The 20,073-nt window shown below is 34.2% G+C and overlaps 1 protein-coding gene across 6 annotated transcripts in view; it reads right to left on the bottom strand.

Annotated features, from left to right (window-relative positions):
* The window catches only part of CDH18 (cadherin 18), a 1,104,418-nt gene extending 1,087,778 nt beyond the window's left edge, over positions 1 to 16,640 (bottom strand). For all 6 annotated transcript variants that reach the window (XM_005248228.5, NM_001349562.2, NM_001349556.2 and 3 more), the window contains exon 1: positions 16,389 to 16,640. The gene's annotated coding sequence lies outside the window, so the exon portion shown is untranslated. The remainder of the gene's footprint in view (positions 1 to 16,388) is intronic.
* Positions 16,641 to 20,073: the final 3,433 nt, after the last annotated feature.

A 20,073-nucleotide genomic window follows, 5' to 3' on the forward strand; every position in this document is an offset into this window, starting at 1 on the left:
AATATTTCTTCCTTCTGATTGGCCCCAAAGTGACTCATATTGTATTTTAGCACAAAAATATTTGCCAATGTAAGTTTAAGAAAAAAATTAAGATTTTCATGACAAGTAGATTTTCAAGGAGAAAAACCATAAAATTCTGATTATAAATTTCTTCAGCCAAACTTAGAAGCTTACTTGGTAAACATCAGTTCATCTCCTATCTAATAGTGTGATGACAACTTCCTCCCCAGGAATAATACAAGGATTAAATCAAATGTCTCATGTAAGCAGGTAGTATGGGATCACATCATCTGGACTCAAATTTTAACTGGGGTAAATCAATAATGAGTGTCATTTTTGCAGTTCAAACATAAGCAGAGCAATGGATATTATATCATACATCTATTTAAAATAGTATGGTATATAATGTAGCACTTGTTTTAGACAGTTCCAAAAGTACTCAATTTTCAGCAATTAAATACATGTAAAGCACATGGCTCACGGGACTTAGTATGCGCTCAAAAAGAACAGCTGTTATGATTTTATTGATATAAAAATAGTAATGTCATTTTTATAATAATTACAATAATTGAGTTTACATTTTAAACTAATAGAAAAATATACAGAAATGTGAAGAATATTGAAGCTAATATTGAATTCCAACCTGATCATATAAAAATCAAGAAATCACTGTCTAAGCGCCTACAAGATCAAGGTTGAAAAGTTTTATGCATAGTTTGATGTCTACCCACTAACATCCCTATTAAACAAGAAAAGCATTTAAAAGTTTGTTGCATGCCTTCTCCAAAGGTAGTAAAATTAATTAGGGAGATGTGCAGGCTGCGGATTCATTTGATTATATCTTACTAGCTAAAGTGCAAAATTTCCCTGCTAGGTCTGTTGCCTAAAGGAGTTTGGTTGATTCATCACCTCTTTCACTCATAGGGTTGATCACTGCAAATGACTTTATTGACCCATGGTTTGGTTCAGCATCATATGCTCCAGTGAACCAAGCAACAAACAGCTGCTAAGTGCAGGTGAGAAGTCGTCATGGAAAATTCAAGAACTGAATCAGCATACTCTCTGCCATCAGGCTCCCGTGCTGTCACAGATTTCTGAGTTTCTTATTTGACAGGGATAATTTTTAAAGGGACTTGTCCTAGAATACTGTATCTTCTTATGGACTTTCATGACTTTTAAACAGTCATGGAGAGTGCTGTAGTTCTAGAACCCAAATTCCAGATACCTAGATTGTTAGTCACAATCATATTACACTTTTAATGATTTAATACATGTCGATGAAAATTTCAAGCCAAATAAAATTGTGATAAAGTAGTATATAACAGTTAAGAATTGAAAAAGTATGTTAGGAATCATCTAATGACTTTAACCACTGCCCTGGCCCCCAACACTCATACACACACACACACACACACACACACACACACACACACACACACCCCTACATTCACAAATCCATTAAGACTCAAAGGTAATTCAAGAGCAGAGAGATTCAGAGTGGAGAAATCTCAGCTGGTATCAGCTGCTTCTACCAAGCAGCATTATCAGCTTCTCCTAGTTAGAAATAGCCTGACCTTCATGACAACTCTTCTATTTAGAGCTGCTCTAAGTCTTTCTTCTACTAGACTAAGTTTAGGGTGAATTGGAAATTATGCTTTATTGTTGTCATAGGTACATAACAAATGTTTGTTAAGTAGGTGAATGAATTAAAGAGTAAATTCTTAAGTTACATGCAATATTATGAGAATTAGAAGACGAGCCACAGACTGCAAGAAAATATTTTCAAAAGACATATTTCAAAAAGGTCTATTATCCAACATACACAATACATCCTAAAAGTCAGCAGTAAGAAAATTAACAAACTAAAAAAAATCAGCAAAAGACTTGAACAGATGTCTTAACAAAGAAGATAGATAGAAAGTAATATAAAACAATGTTCCATATCATATATCATTAGAGAAACGCAAATTAAAACAATGAGATACTGCTATACATGTGCTAGAATGGCCAAAATTCAGAACTTTGACAATATTGAATGCTGGCAAGGATATGAAGCAACAGGAACTTACATGTTTTGCTAGTGGGGAAGATAAATTGCATAGCCATAGTGGAAGACAGTTGGCCAGTTTTTTACAAAACTAAGCAAATCTTACCTTGCAATCTAGAGTCATGTTCTTTGGTACTTACCCAAATAAGTTGAACATTTACATACACACAAAACACTGCACATGGATGTTTATAGCAATATTATTCATAATTGTCAAAACTTGTAAGTAAGCAAGATATCCTTCAATAATTGAGTGGAAAAATAAGTTGTGCTGCATGAGGACAATGGAATATTTTTCCGTGCTATAAAGAAATGAGCTATCAAACCAAAAAGACATGGAGCAACCTTAAATTCATCTTACTAAGTGAAAGAAACCAATCTGACAAGGCTACATATTGTATGATTCCAATTATAAGAAATACTGGAAAACTATGTAGTCAAAAAAAGATCAGTAGTTGCCAGGGGTAAGGGTGGAAGGAGAAACGAATAGGTCAAGCATAGAAGATTTTTTTAGGGAAGCTCAACTATTCTGTATGATTCTATAATAGTGAATACATGTCATTATATATTTGTCAAAGCACATAGCATGTACAGCACTAAGAGTAAATCCTAAGAAATAAAGTCTATTCAAAAGAGAAAAAAATTAAATGCAATAAAAATGGTTTTCTAAGTTGAAATAATTCCAGGTTCATGATTGAACATTAGATATGAAACTGATTTTTTTCACCTCGTAATGTCTTCATTATTAATTTATTTCAGTATCTAAAAGAATTCCAAAAAGTTCAAAACAAATGACATCCTGCATTTTTTATTTGAAAATATCAATTATATGGTATTATGCTAAGAGCTGCCTCACAAGTTCCAAATCAAATAGGCTATTATGAACAAAAAGTGTATGCAATAAATTTTACAGCAATATTCAAAGGTATTACAATAAAAATTTAGAGAAGTTTAATTATAAAATTCATAGACATAGTCTCACAAAAACCAGAGATCTATAATAGAAAAGAAAATAGGTGACCTACTTTACACATTCACAAATCCAAAGGGTAAGATAATTTAGTGGGAATTGATTTTTCACTTAAAATAGTTAATATATCTAATAAATTCTTGGAAATAGAAATAGAAATTAGTATCAAGAGTTTTAAAGTTGCTTGGGGACAAGGAGAAATATGAGTTTGGTACTATACACAAAGGAATACAGGATATTATTGTTCAATAATGCCTAAAGAATCTTCCCAGAACATGAGAATATTTGAGAAAACATTTCAAGGCAACCTTATGTACCTATGTTACTAAGCAAAATGTGGAATGGGGTTAGTAAACATTTTAATAATATGATATATATAAAGGCATGGTTGCCAAAAATTAATTGATCTGAATACTGTATATGATAAAAATGTGTTTCACCTGCATTTAGTATTATGATGTTAAACAGAATTAACTAGAACGTTATATTCTAATATATCTTATAATTATTATTAAAAATGCTATAATTACTGTCTTGTAATTATTTTCTTCTCTTAAAGGTAGTATTTGACCAGCCAAGAAAAAAACAAAAACTGGACCTTTATTCTTTTATTGGTAAATTTAAAACAGCGTTGTGGAATAAAACATTATTGCGTAACTTTCTTAATGTAAAATTAAAACAATATGAAAAGGCATAGCATTTAATAGGAACAATTAGGTTTAAATCATAGAATAAGTTTGTTTAGCACTTCTACATCTTTAACATGGTTATGAACCACCCGAGGATAATGTTAAAATGTATATACTTATTCAGTTAATGCTGGTGTATTTCTATCATTTTTAACAAGCTCCTACTTAATGTCAATTCTACTGGCATATAGATCATACTTTGAGAAGGTAGGTTTTTTTTTTTTTAGCATGGTGACCTAACTAATCTAGATCATTTTTTTCCATAACACATGAAAAACTTAACTCCAAAAGTATCAGTAAGAGCTGACTCACACAGAGTTAATCATTACTCTAGGAGTTATAACATGACAGCAAAAAAAGCATAAATGTCTCTGCAACAAATAATATATTTTTATTTTTCAATTACTTCACAGTTGAAAAATAGAGGATGGGGCAGAGTGAGAAAAAGTATATTGGTGTCAACGGAAATGTTGACATATGTGAGAGCTCATAAATGAAAGTATCATCTAAACACAATAACAAAAGTCTGAAATTTACAAGTTAAAATGTAGACAAACAATTGTTTCTTGTGTGATCAGCATTTTGAAGCACAGTTTCAAGCTTAACAGAATAGGAATATACTTTTATACTTTTGGCATAGCCAGGTCTAGAATGGCTTCTTAATCTTCCCCAATTAAATTGTTGACAGTTAAATTGTTGACAGTAAGTTCACTCGTTTTTTGTGTGTTTTTTTAAATAAATAAAATTTAGAAAGGAAACTACTTAAATGTCAATTTTTTTTATTATACTTTAAGTTCTAGGGTACATGTGTACAAGGTGCAGGTTTGTTACATATGTATACGTTTTAAATTGGTGTTCATGAGTTTGAGAATCTTTTGCTGCTGCAGTTCAGGTACCCATTCACAGGCTCAAATTAAACAACTGGTTGTGACAAATCTAAAGTGTACTTAGTATGCACAAAATACTAACTGATATGTTAGAGAGCTCTATTGCTTAGGTAACTCATTTATTTACATTACATCTAGTACCATAGTAGTCACAAAAGAGCTCCTTAAACTCATATTATTAGCCAAAACAAAATGGCGCTCTGATCTTGAGGCTAACATTTGAAATTAAATAAACTAGTAGAGAAGCCTATGTGTGATATATTTGCCCCAGTAACCTCTAGTTATAGAAGGAACCCATGGTAAGTTTAATCTATGACTATTAATAAGTACCCTACTTCTATCTTTTGATCAAATTAGATCATGTTACCCCATGATTTAGAAACCATCAAAGACTTATTCACAACATCCATTTTCCTTAGCATAGTAATAATTATATACTTCCACAATCGGTTCACCTATCTCTCCAGGGCCCATACTTCCTGCTTCCTCATAACGACCTTACATTTCAGCCATGGTGAACAACATGCAATTTTCACATCCCTCCATAATCGTTCTTAATCTTCCCACAATTATTTCTTGCATTATTATCACAGTTTTATTTATTTATTTATTTATTTATTTATTTATTTTAGATGGAGTTTCGCTCTGTCACCCAGGCTGGAGTACATTGGTGCAATCTCTGCTCACTGAGACCTCCACCTCCCAGGTTCAAGCAATTCTCCTGCCTCAGGTTCCTGAGTATCTGGGACTACAGGCACATGCTACCATGCCAAGCTAATTTTTTGTATTTTCAGTAGAGACGGGGTTTCACCATCTCTCTGGTTGGGCCAGGCTGGTCTTGAACTCCTGACCTCAGGTGATCCAGCTGCCTTGACCTCCCAAAATCACCATTTTAAATACAACTCAAATATCAAGTGCTCTGGAATCTCTTTTCAGGTTTAGCAATGAACAAGGCAAAGTTAATTTCTTCTTTATTGTCTGTTCCCTTTTGCATAACATCTTGCATTTAAAAACATTTTAGCAGTAATTAAATGCTGTATTACTTTTGGCATTTTAGAGGGAAGAAAATTTCATGAGGTTTCCATTTGGCTCTTTAACCCATAATATTCTCACTGTAAGGGTCAGAGATCTAACAGAAAGACATTGTCTTTAGCCAATTATTTTTATATTAAGTATAGTTTCAGGAAGTAAGGAAAGAATTATGATGTAGTTTAACAAAATAACTGAGTTCATTATGATTTAAATGTACGGCAAAACTTTATATATCACATGACCACCATAATCAGTCACTTTGGGAGATCACAGTATATTTTGGGTCACCAGAAATTAGCACCACTTCAAAGCTAGTGAGTACATTTTAAAAATTGACATATTTTTTCTCTTTCATGTATGATCACCCTAGTGAGTCACCATAGCTTCCTCTGAAGAAGGATTTGGCAGAAATTTACAATGTATCCCCGATGCAGAATAGCTCTTCTTTACTCAAGGGAATCCACCATCCCAGTTAATTAAGTTGTTTCAGATATATGTGAACTGGCCTTGTTTTGAGAACCAGTTAAGGGGCCGTGATTTTTCATTATGGGAACTCAAGTCAGGTTTCTGATCATAGACCTAAAGTTGTTGTTGTTGTTGTTGTATATACTCAGTAAAATTTTAGTAGAAAGAGTATAATCATTGGCTAACAGCAAAGATCCTTGCAAGTAAAATCCTGATTACTACTTAGTTCCTGCTGCTTACTTGGTAAGTGCAAAATCTTAGCTGTGGCGGTTAATTAAGCATTGCTCCTTGGCTTCTATTCCTCTGGAATCTCTCCATCTTCATTGATATCAGGAAGCCCATATCAATGGTGACATCTCCCACCATCACAACTTGACTGCTGTGGAGGGCACTACAAAATGTTTAAATTGGTGCTTGAAATATTCTGGTACTCTCATCTTTACTTATTTCTTAGTGCTTTTGTGAATGGAATATCCTGAGACCTCTAGGTGGGAGAGAAGTGAAAGACAGTGGGGAGTAAGCCTGCATATAATCAATGTGCTTCAACATTCCAGTCTTCCTGAGCCTTTGCGTTCCTCCTTGTACGTTATGATAAAAAAAAAAAAAAAGTTCCAGCATTTTAACCTTCTAGGTAGGTCACTGTTGAACACACTTTTCTGTCAACTAACCAACTAATCCCTTAGTGCTATATTCAGTTGTGCAAGCAACCCTATTAAATATAGATCTCTGGTAGGTACACCCATACTGAAGAATTTGGCCAAATCCAGTATTATGTTTTGTCATCTTTTGTCTAATTCTCTTAAAATCTAGTATCTCACACAATTCCCTGATTTTTGCTGACATAAATTAACAAAATCTTGCAAATATTTTGAAGTGCCAGCTAATTCCTCCTGGGCCAGATTTTATATATATTCTAGATAAGGCTGAGCACTGACTCTAATTAGTAAAGTCAGGAGATACTAAGGGCATGACTAAATCTGGAAGAAAATGGGCTACTTTTGCAGGGCAAGTACCTCAGGTGATTTACTCTGGATCATCAAGTAATAGAAGGCTAGGCTACATACTCAGAGGAAGCAGAGGAAGGAAGCTTCCGTTGTTGACAAGAGAGACTCAGTTGTTTCAAATTTCTCATTGTAACCCAAAGCCACTCAGATGGCCTTAAAAGCTTTCTGATTCTCTTGATTTTTTTTCTTTTTCTTTTTTTTTTTTTTTTTTGAGATAGAGTCTCACTCTGTCACCATGTTGGAGTGCAGTGGTGCGATCTCGGCTCACTGCAACCTCTGCCTTCCAGGTTCAGGTGATTGTCCTGTCTCAGCCTCCCAAGTAGCTGGGAATACAGGTTCGCGCCACCATGCCCAGCTAATTTTTTTTTTTTTTTTTTTTTTGTATTTTTAGTGGAGACAGGGTTTCACCATGTTGGCCGAGATGGTCTCAATTTCCTGACTTCGTGATCCGCCCACCTAGGCCTTCCAAAGTGCTGGGATTACAAGTGTGAGCCACTGCACCCAGCCTAATTCTCTTGATTTAAAGCCAGGAGCTTACATGTGTGATTTTTTTGGCTTGTTTGCTTATTTGTTTATCTGTAAGCTGTCAAGTACAATTAAAACAATGATTTCATCTTATAGTCTTGTAATCACCATTACGAACAAAGAGTGAAAGACAGTTACCGCTTGGTTACACGATCTTTGCTTCAGAAGGCCTGCACCACAAATAAACATAGCTGGCTATTTGAGTAATTGGAAAAGCGATTGCATACTATAGATTACTTGTACTCCAATTACCATTAGCCAATTGTTCAATACTGTATTGAAGGCCAAACGCCATGATCAAACCAATTCCCTGGACCCAATGTTGGTAGCTCACTCATTTTCTGTTATCAACTCTTCTTTATTCACTCAAGCATGAACTCTTTATTCAGTCAGTATTGAGTCAGGAAAACAGAAAGCACAGCAGTTATTTCAATAGAATATTTAATACATTTCTTGGAAGATTGAAAATAAAGAAGGAAACAGCGAGGTAACAAATATTTTAAATGTTGGAAGCAGCCACCATCCCTAGGGCTGGGAGAACAAAAGAGACTTCTTTGGTTCTTTTTCTAAGATCTTTTAGATTCAAATAAATGCTTTTTAGAAAGTGACATAAACTTTCAATTTACACTCTCTGTGTTGAAGTATATTTTTCACCTTTTTTAAACAAATGACTTTGAAATATTTTGTTTTCTCAATGACAGCTACTTATTGAGAATATGAGAACCTAAAAGATGGAGAAGGGGCCCCATGGAGCAATGGAATAAGCAGTGCCTGCCTGGTGCTGTAACCAATGAGGTTTGGCACAGTGAGGCTAGTTTTAGGAGTACTAGCAACAGCTGGAAACCAGAAGCAAATGCTTCCGGAATTGCCCACTGCTGTGGAGGTGAAGAGCATTATAAGGTCAGGCTGACAAGGGAAGCAAATAGAAAAGATATGAGAATGTGCTTTTTTTTCATCCTGCTTTGCAACTCCATATAGTACTCTCTTGGCAGATCCTAATGAGTAGCAAGCTGGAAAAGGAGAAATGTTCTTTCAAGAGCCTCAGTCCCAGTCCAGCATCATAGAAGAGAGGACAGACTGGAACATTTAAACACAAAAGACAACAGTTTAATGACTGGGACAGTTTTCTTCCTTGTCTACTAGATGGAGAATGCCTAATCGGTTTTACTCGTCTTTGCAGCCCCTTGAATAAGAATAAAATGTCATATTTAGGACTTGTTCAGCAAATTTTTCTTGGATGCTTAAATGAAGGTTAGGAAGAAGATAGTTTAGATCACATTTTCGAGAACTGTGAATTTAGAAGCACTGAGTGTAAATATGAGTCCTGCTATTGTTTATATGTCTGTGATTTTGTCAGTCATTCTTCTAAGCTTTTTACCTCTAGAACCTCATTGAACCTGTAGATTAGCCCTATAAGGTACATGCCATTATTATAAAGACGACAAACACAGGCTGACAAATGTTAAAAAGCCTTCTCTAAGGTTCTAGAGTGAATGTGGCAACTTAACCTAGTGTTAAAGAAAATGAACTTGAGAGACAGAAGGACCTGGATTTGAAACCCAATGACCTACTCTCTTTTTCCCTCTATCAAAGGAATTTTATAATTGGGTTTCAAAAATTCCTTTTGGAAAACCTTTAGTATTCTCAGTGATAATGTTGCTGCTATGGGTCAAAATGTTCTGTCACTTAGATTGAAGGAAAACTTTATTAAGTAATGTTTTTAACAATACATTGGTTAGTACTTGAGTTCAAGTCAAGGAGTTAATTATATTGATTTATGACAGAAGCACTCAATAACTAGATGGTAGAAATGATACCCTAAGACCTCTGCCAGCCAACAACTAAACTTTATGAAAAAGAATATTAAAAGCAAACTAAAATTATTAAATGAATGTCAAGAGTGGGCATTTCAGAATATAAATTAATTCACTAGAAAAAATATGCTAACATACATATCCATATACAGAGACAGAGACGGCAACTGAGAGAAAATTATGGCATTTTAAAAACATTTTCTATCTATTCCTCCGAGGACTACTAAACATCTTGAGAAACTGGTCGTCTTATTTATGCTTCGTACACTCATTTGTCTGTGTATTGTTTCAAGAGTCCTTCCAAAATGTAATTAGTTTGTGAGCAAGCTAGTCCAATCCTTTGCCTCCAATATTAACATCTTTTAAATTCAAATAAATGCACCAAAGGGGGGCATAAGAAAATCTCTAACTCGGATTTTCTTCCTTAAAGAGCTTTCTCTCACCAAGTACTTTACATTTTGTTTCTAAGGGATATCTAATCATATTCACTGCATAATGCACCCATATTCATCTCTAACACTTTCTATTTTGAAGGGGCTTATACACATTAACCCACCTATTATACTATAACTGCATGCTGCTTTCAATGAGTAGGCAGGAAAACAGCTGCAGAGCAGTTCAGTGGGATGGCTACGAGTCGTGTACATACCCACCTTCATATAATATTAGAACATGAGACTGTTTAACCAACTACATTGCCCTCCATTTTATATGAAAAGAAAAGGGGAATGGAGAGGAAAAGAAAGTCAGAGACATTAAAACATTTTCAAAATCATTTATATAGCTTGTACTACGAGCCAATATTCTGAATCATTCCTTCAAATAAACATGCTCGGCCAGGCGCCATGGCTCACACCTGTAATCCCAGCACTTTGGAAGGCCACGGCGGGCGGATCATGAGGTCAAGAGTTCGAGACCAGCCTGGCCAATATGGGGAAACCCCATCTCTACTGAAAATACAAATAATTAGCCAGGCGTGGTGTCATCCCAGCTCCTTGGGAGGCTGAGGCAGGAGAATTGCTTGAACCTGGGAGGTGGAGGTTGCAGTGAGCCAAGGTCACACCACTGCACTCCAGCCTGGGCAACAGAGCAAGACTCAATCTCAAAAACCACAACAACAACAACAACAACAAACTCTTACCATATAATCCAGAAATCATGCTCATTGGTATTTACCCAAATGAGTTGAACACTTACATATACACAAAAGACTGAACATTAATGCTTATGGCAGCTTTATTTATGATTGTCAAAACTTGGTAGTAACCAAGATGACCTTCAGTAGATGAATGAATAAACAAACTGTGGCTCATCCATAACATAGAGAATATTATTCAGTAATAAAATGAAATGAGCCCTCAAACCATAAAAAGATATTGAAGCACTTTAAATGCATGTTGATTAAGAAAAGCAAATCAGCAAACCTACCTACCTTATTCCAACTACATGACATTCTGAGAGACAAAACTATGGATATATTAAAAGATCAGTGCTTGTCAGGTGTTACGGAGAAGGAACTGAAGAAGGCATGACTAGGTGGTGCACAGGAGAATTGAATGGCAATGAAAATGTTCTGTCTGATACTATAAACGTGGATATACCTTATTATATGTTTGTCAAAATTTATATAATATACATTACAGAGAGTCAACTCTAATATAAACTATGAACTTAAGTTAATAATGGTGAATCAATAATGGTTCTTCCATTGCAACAAATATACCACACTAATGCAAGATGTTAATCATAAGAAAAACTGGCAGAGGATGACTGGTATGTAGGAACCCTCCTCTTTTCCATCATTTTTTGTAAAGCTGAAACTGATTGGAAAATAAAGTCTGTTCATTAAAAAAAAAATGAAGTATGTGCCATAGCTGTTTGAAACCCATTTGCTTTGCCTGTCGTAAAACAATGTTCGCTATACATAATGCCTCACTACTGGATCTTCTCTCATTTTATTTCTGCCAAGGATGGGTGAGAATGGATAACTTTTAACCTATGAGTGACATTAGTATATCTGGTAGACAGGTAAATAACACTACTCTCTTTTACACCTTATTCATATTATGATTAATAAAATCATGTTCTAGTCTGATTCATTATCTTCCTCTATTCTCAGTAACCTGGGCCAAGATCCTCTCATTCACAAGTTAGAGTGACTGCAGTTTAGTAAACAGCAGGGCTGGCTCAAGGATGAAGGTACATGACTCAAGACAGAGTTCTAATGGACAGGAAATAATGCAACAGATGGACCCATCTGAAGTCATATCTAAGCAAAGTACAGGTGATTCTATTTCTATGTTATTCTGACTTTATAAAAACAACTATACCCAGATATACACACACATTCTCATCCAATCATATGCACACATAGTTTCACAAAGACAAATAGGCCAAGGAGTAATTTTGTAGAGAAAACAATTCGGTTCATTGATCATAGCAACAAGAGAGCAAATAGAAACCAACATATACTTTCTAATTATTAACATCATCTAAGTCCATTAGAGTAAACCCAATAGACATGAGTCCTCTTGTTTCCTTACAAAGCCTGATATCAACCTATTATATTAAAAATTACCCATTTCAGTTACTCATTTTTCTACTTTCCATATCTCTAGAGAGAATTTTTCTCATACTCTGTGAGACATAGAAATATTACATGACAGTGACACCTCTACGTCTTTACCATTAAATAGAAAACATGAATATATCCCTTTCATTGTTATGTTTGTCTCTTGATTCTTGGCCAAATTTCGCAACATACAAAAGTTTCTATACAGTTGTTGCATTTTCATTTATTTGTCTTATTTTCAATTTTAGCCCATCTCCATTTCTGTGCTACTTTAATATAAAAGATAATCTCTTTTTAGAAGACAGTAAAGTCCTTAACATATTTTATTTATGGTTCACATCAATATATAGCATCGGAATTCTCACTCAAGTCACATTGCTTAATAATTTATATTACCAAAATCTAATTTTGTGAAAAAGAACAGCATTATATTATATACCAGTAGATGGGGAATGATTTCCACAGAACTTTGTGTATTGTATATGCTTTGTATATTGTATATGCTAGTTGCATTCAAAATTCACAATTATCAAGGTATGTAAATTTTCAAACAGAGAAAAATAACTCTATATATTTACTCTGAAAAGACCAGTAAAGGAGATATCTTTACCATTTTCATATTTCCATTTTATTTGAGCAACTTCTACACTGATAAGTCAAGGAGCTATTCAATAAATGATTGAACTCCATGATTCATTGCTTAGAATTCCTCCTTTTCTCTCACTTCTCAAAAGAAATGTCACTCACATTGTGTATGTCACTTCTTTCTCTTTCCATGAGCTAGCACCATTTGAAAAAAGCTTAGACTGGCTAAGTTCATGGACTCATTATTAAATGCTGCGTAACCCCTAACCAAGTCCTGCAGTAAGAGAAGATCTCTAACTGCTGTAGAGATGGGAGGAATGTTTTTCCATTTATTAAGAAAGTCTACGGTGCAATTCAATATACATGGCTTTCAAAAGTGATAAGGGAAATACCCTTTCTTCCCGTAATACACCCTCCCATGAACTTCTGTGTATGTAATGATAACTTTATATAATGTCAGCATACAATATTTTCTGGAATTTAAAAATGCATTTTCTATGCCTGTGTGGATAGTAAAACATTCTTTTATCTTCAATTCTTCCATGTCTATTTTTGTAAAAGAAAAAAAAAAGGTAATATTCTCTTTTTAGCTGCCTGCTGATCTTGTCTCCTGAAAGCAAACTGCATGGAAGCCACAGTCATTGAGTTTCGGTGCTGTCCCTAGAGATGTGGAGATCATGTAAAGGATGTTTCTTCCCTCAGGTTTGGCCTTAATTTTATATTTTATATTTCTTATGATGCTGTTTGCATAATATATTATCTTTACATTTGCCTAAAATAGGTCATATTAATATTTCAAGCCGTTGTTATTTTCAAAGATTATATACAAGAATATTTTAAAGACAGTAAGTTTGAAAAGCATAGGATATATCTCATTTACCTGTGAAAATAAGGGCTTCTTATTGATCTTAAATGTTTCTTTGTGTGGGGAGAAGAATAAAGCTACTTTTAAAAGTATTCACATTATAAAAATAGGGAAAACACTTCAAGAAAGCTCTATAACCTCTTTCAGTGGTTTGATGAGTATAACACAGGAAGAAAGAGCCCCCTAATGGCTCAGATATCTATAAAAACAGAAGAGGTTGTACTTTCTCAATTCTTGTTTCACAATGGCTAAAATGAGTAATCAGGAAAGGTATGTGATACTATGGAAGCAAATGGAGAGTTGAATAAAAGGTCAACTAGAGCTCTCTCAACAATGCAAACAATAGTGAGAATCCCTAAAATGAATTGGTGAAGTAAGCTGTTAGATTTCAGACTGAGGGTGATGCTTACATATGTGACTCCTAGCACACTTGTCTTCCTCAATTATGTTTGCAGAGAAGCACTGATCTGGAATGCAGGAGACATATTCATTACACAGTTGGAAAGTGTGAAGTGTTTTTTAAAAACACTTTCTTTTTTTCTAATCATTGACCATTTCCTGTTAATAATATGGGAAATCAAATTTCTTACAGGAGAAATTACAGAATTTGTAAGAAAACAAAAAAGAGAATCAAAGTAATATTGAGTATAAGCTAAGAAGAATGTCCTAGTGCAAGAAGCAAACAGTGCTAAGAAATTAAAAGTATTTTTGAAGGAAGAGTATGTCTATTCACAGAAAAAAAACTTAGCATTGATGTTACATCTACTTATGCTAAAATTTTAATGGTCTCATAAAAACACACACAATACTATTAGAATTACGTTTTTTTTTAATTGCATATAAGCCAATATAGCCCATAAATAAGTACCAGGAGGACACTGAACTGTATAAAACAACTTGGATACTTAAGGTTGTTGCAACAAAAATTATAAAATTCAAAGTAATTTGTATATTAAACTTAAAAATGAGTAGAAGAATTAGTTAAAACAAAGTTACATCCTTGAATGAGATGTCAGATTATTTGCATAAATAAAATGGAATTATTAAAATACAATTTTGAATACAATTATTAAAAGCAATAATACAATTATTAAAAGCAATCTGAATATTATAAGCAAAACAATAACTAAACAAGGTTATAATAGATTTAAAACAAATTCTGTCTGTGAATTTGGCATGATACTGCAACAATATACATAAATATATGGTTTACAGTGCCAGTCACCATTCTCAGTTAACGGTTTGGCATTTGTCCCCCAAATATAATACTTAAAAGAAATATATATATATATATATATATATATATATATATATATGTATTTATATATAAAAGAAATATATATATGTATTTATATATATAAAAGAAATATATATATGTATTTATATATATAAAAGAAATATATATATATTTCTTTTAAGTATTTTATATATATATACTTTTTTTAAACAAATGACTCAATTTAAAAACAAAAACATCACTATTCTCTAATACATATCTCTCTACTTCCTAAGACCAACTGTACTTTCCAAAATTCATATCAACAATTCAGTTATTCACTTCTGATACGATTATATCAATAGAATACCAAGGTAGCTGTAATAATACTTGCATTATTAGGAAGCATCTAAATATCATCTCGCATTTAGAAGACAAAATGAACGTCATAAAATAGTGTTTTTTTAAATATGCATTTTTAATTAAAATATAAATAAGGGTGAATAAAACACACAAAAACAACTATTTAGAGTATGTAATAATTCTAAATTCAGACATGTGGGCTACTACTAAGGTTGGCAATCATGTTCTTTTTTGAAACGTTGAACAACATATTAAAAAGTTTTGCTGACTTATCACAGATGGCAGTTTGTTCTTTGATTAGAAGAGTGACTCAGGGAACTTCACTCAAAAGGACAGTCAGAGCAATTCTCGGGGTAAAATATCTCTTAATTAATCCAAAAGCAAACAAATTGACATAAAAATGTCACACACCATTAGAGTTCCAGTAAGCATTAAATAAATTCTTTCTGTCACAATGTTTTATCCTTAGCAGTTAATATCTGTGACCTATAAAACTAAGGTCAATCAAATACATCAGGACTGCATTGCCCCAGCTCATTATTTCTAGTCCAACCCATCAATTTCAGATATCATTTTAAAAAACTCTATTCTTCCCAGCAGAGGATTTAATATGCGCGAAGTTCCCATATATTCACAGATGCTTAACCCGCACGTAGCATCACTGACATGCAAAACATTAATTGATGCTACTGCAGGTAAGCAATGAACTCTAAAATAGCTAAACATCTCCAGAGTCACATTTCTTTGCCTTAGCTCAATACTTTCTTAAGCACAAATGCTGACCATCAATAAGAGGGCAGTCTAATGTCACATCATTTAACAAATATTGTGTTTGTATTGAAGAGTTAAAACTGCAATCTAAAGACAGATTTAGAAAAAAAAAAACCACTAGCAATCACTGAAAAGCATATGATAGCATCTACGTCTGCATAAAATATAATAACTGATAGTTAACACAGCAATGGTCCTTTCTTGATATGCTATTATTTACCAAAGTAGTTTAACAGCTAAAAACAATATTTATGAACATATTGTAAGGTTGTCACAAAAAAATGTACTTTGTATTATAAACTTGGCTTATTTTTCTTCTTTACGTGGAGTATCTGCTACAGAAACTTACAATGTAGTGACCTTATTTTTGAAAAAAAAATCTGTACCTGGAGATATTTTTTAAATGCAAATATATTAATATAAACACAGTGTGCATTTCCATATTTCTAAATCAACATACTTGTGTATAGAATTTACTTTAATGCATCATGGAAAACTCAGTTTTAAAAACATGCAAAGCTATGATGTATTTTGCTGTGAATAATTAAAAAGAAATCCAGAGATAAAAATTGCATTTCCTTACCTGGAGCGTGAAACTGTTCCTGTTCAATGCTGGAAGAAAGTGGAACTGGAAAGGGGACTTGATTTTTGTTTTCTTTTGAAAATCCGCTTTAATGATGCAGGAGTAAGATGAGCTATTCCAAGGTGAAGTCTGTTATTTCTTGCTGGAGCTCAGAGCTGACATCCTCTTGTAAAAAGAAAGGCACCTCAGTAAGTTGTTCACTGAGGGAGCTGCAGAGCAAGATTATCGGGTACAAGCAGTCACAGTAGTGATGCTATGGAACGTGCACTGGCTTCCTCCCCACCTTGTGTTCCTCTCTCTCTCTCTCTCCCCGCTTTTTTTTCTCTCTCTCTCTCTTTCTCTCTTTCCTTTTCACCCTGACGCTCGCTCAGCTCTGAGACTCAGCTCATGCTGCTGCTGTATAATCAATCTAGCCTGTCTGAAGCTAATAGTCCCCTATTTAACCAGCCAATCAATAGCAAGGATTCCACTGCTAGTCCCAAGAGTCTTTTCCAAGAGTGGTACAAACAATAAGAGTTTTGCCAGCAGTTTAGCCAAGTGTTTTTCATTATTTTATCTCCCTTAGAGATAAGGCTTGAGAGGGCAGAGGCTCAAAGCAAGCTTAGTGTTACTGCTGATTTTTGCATTTTAAAAATTTACCCCTTCTTAACCAGCTGATACTTATAATGATCCTCACCTGCTATCTATTGCAATATAAACATTGCTGCAGAGTAGCAATGTATGATAGGGTCTTTCTCATTCAAACATGTAAGAATATATTCAGTAACAAAACTATATACACTGACAAATGCTTTGCTAAAAACAGTAATGCCTCCAGTAGCCCGTATCACTAGGATCAATTAAAGAACACCTCATTATACTGATTTATTTTAAATGTTATCTATTTTATTTTAGAAAATCATGGTAAATAATTTTGTTTCTCCTAAAGAACAAGAGGTAATGTTTGTAGATATTTTTGAACCAGGGTCTGAGTCAGACTTCAGTGTATAAAACTTTTTTTTTCAATTTTAAGGCATTAATCTACAAAAGTTTCCCTCTGAATGTATCAAATAGAGCATTTCACACCTGATTCATCCCTTCCAGGTTAAGAAGATTTTCTTCTTAAAGTGACACATTCATTGCTCAACTGCTGTGACTGACCATAATAAAGAAGCACAAAGCAAACCATTGAAGACCAGGCTGGTTTCTCATTTCCCACATGCTTCCAGGGGGGCAAAAAAGCAAAAGAAAAAAGAGAAGAGCATATGGGATCGCATTAGCCATACCCTAGAAATGCAGTCTTTCTCAATTTCTAATTAGGAGGTGGTTGCTTATCTCAATTTCACACCGGTTGGTCAACTAAACTTTTAGTTACTTTTTCTTTGTAATACTGCATTTCTGCATTCATTAAAGCAAATTGTATAAGAATCTTTAACTGCTTCAATTCCCAGTTGGCATTCAATTCCAGGCAGTAGTCATTGCAGCTCCAACCTTCAGCATCATATAATACAAATAAAAATTTATAATATGTGCCAAAGCATCTTGTAAATGAAGACTGAAAATGTCATAAGGTAGGTGTGATCATGAAGTTACACTCAATTAAAATCTAAATTGTGAAGTGTTGTAACACCTGAGACACACTTCTTTGATTTAATTGACTCAGTTCAGCAGATATTTATTGAGCAACTCTTTGCATCAGACCGTACATTTAATTAAGTAAAGGAAAGAACAGGCTACTTTGCGTTTTTGGTATTTTCAGTGTAGTGCAGTTTGGGTAGTCAATCACCCAGGAGTTTACAATCTGGTAGGTAAATGAGGAGTTCTTAAGTAAGCACCTGCTTTCGTCAATAATTCAAAGAGTGACAAGTCGTCAAGATAGATCATAGCTCCTCTGAACAACAGAAAGACCTATCTATAAAAAAAAAAAAAGGCTATCTTTTTTACAGATAACCTTGTAGTGATCCTTATCAAAGAGAATAAAAAGCAATTTATAGGGAGGAGATGGCAATGATGGTAGTGAGGGGGAGGAACAACAGAAGCAAAAGGAAAGTGTTAAAGGAGGTGGGTGATGGGAGAGGGGTGTGGTGGAAGAGCCAAGTGAGATGGGTGGCTGAACACTTAGGGTCCAGGAAGGTAAATGAAAAAAAGGGAAATGCTCATAATATGTAAGACTTTTAATGCCAAGCTGACAGTAATAGGGGATTGAGAGCATTTCAGTTTTATATTTTCAAACAGAAATGTGGTAAACTTGTAAGTATGCTTTGTGAGCCTCTATATAACAAAATAGTGTCACTTAAGTACTAGAATGGGACCCCAGTGAAAGACAACAATCACTAGGGAGGGTCTCCCTTAGGAGTAATAATGAGTAGAACTAGTGTGCCTATGTTGGAAATTAGCAGAACAAATTAATATTAAAAAGCATTCTGAAATGAGGTCTCTGCATGACTCTGCAACCTAATAAGAAGAAGTGCAGCTTAGGAAAGCATTCAATTTTCAACTTAGGTGGATGACTAAAAAAAAAAAAAAGAAGTGAATGGCAAATAGCCTGCTTACTTACATTCCATCTCAGTTTTTGGTGTCATAATATTTATCTCTAATTAAACTTGTTTCATTGTTTTTGTTATGTGCATTTTCCACTACACTATAAGCTTCATGATGGAAAAGAACTGGTTTTGTACAACACTTTCCCCCCAGCATTTTCAGGAATTGTACTGGGCATATATTAGCTGTTCAATAAATAGGTGTTCAGTGGAAAACAAAATAATCCCCATGTTTGGAATAATACAATAATCACTACATCACAAGTCCTCAGCTCAGAATTCTCCAAAAATTATTTCATTTAACATGAAAAACTCTATAAAATAAATATTATCCCATTTCACACATAAAGACAGTTAGCTTAAAGAGGGTAATTACATTGTCTAATGACACACAATCAATCAATAAGCTTCTATTGAATTCCAAAGCCCATGTTCTTTATAATGTTGAGTTTTCAGGAACCAGCAGGTAATATAACAGAAACTAATAATCTGGATATTACTTTGTGGGTTATATAATTGATCAGGTGGAAAGAACAAAAATAAATCAACTTAAAACTAAAGGTGGGGATTCTGGGAAGATGGCAGAGTAGGATGTACCAAAAATCTATCTCTGCTCTGTAGACAAAAATTGCACTGGCAGAATCTGACTAATGTAACTATTTTAGAACTCTAGAGTCTATTGAAGGCTTACAACTTCCAGTGACAGCTTAGATGGTTAATTTGTAGTTAATTTGGTCCATTTAAGCTCTTAGCACAGCAGCAGCTAGCATCCCGCTCTTAAGCCCTATGGCAGGCAGCTGTGCATATATTTCTAGAATAGATTGCATACAGTTTGTGGTGGCCAGGGTTAGAAAAAAATGACCCTGCCTTCCAATATTGGAGATCTGTGCTATGACCACTGATTGCTTATCACAGAAGAGCACAAGAAGAGATAGTGGCCACTGTTGCCCCAACTTCCCTCAATGTTGCAAGCCTCTCCGTCTCTAAGTAATGTGTCTTTCAGGAGATTTATAGAGCTGGTACCTTTTTCCTTCTTCCTTTTTCTCTGTTTTCCATTTAGGAGCTAGACATTGAAGACTAGGATATTCAAAAGCAACCATGTATACAGATGAAATTAGAAAGTTACCAAGCATACCCAGGAAATGGAGTAGGCTCAGAAAATACTT

Source organism: Homo sapiens, chromosome 5 (assembly GCF_000001405.40).
Source record: "Homo sapiens chromosome 5, GRCh38.p14 Primary Assembly".
Classification (NCBI taxonomy): Eukaryota; Metazoa; Chordata; class Mammalia; order Primates; family Hominidae; genus Homo; species Homo sapiens.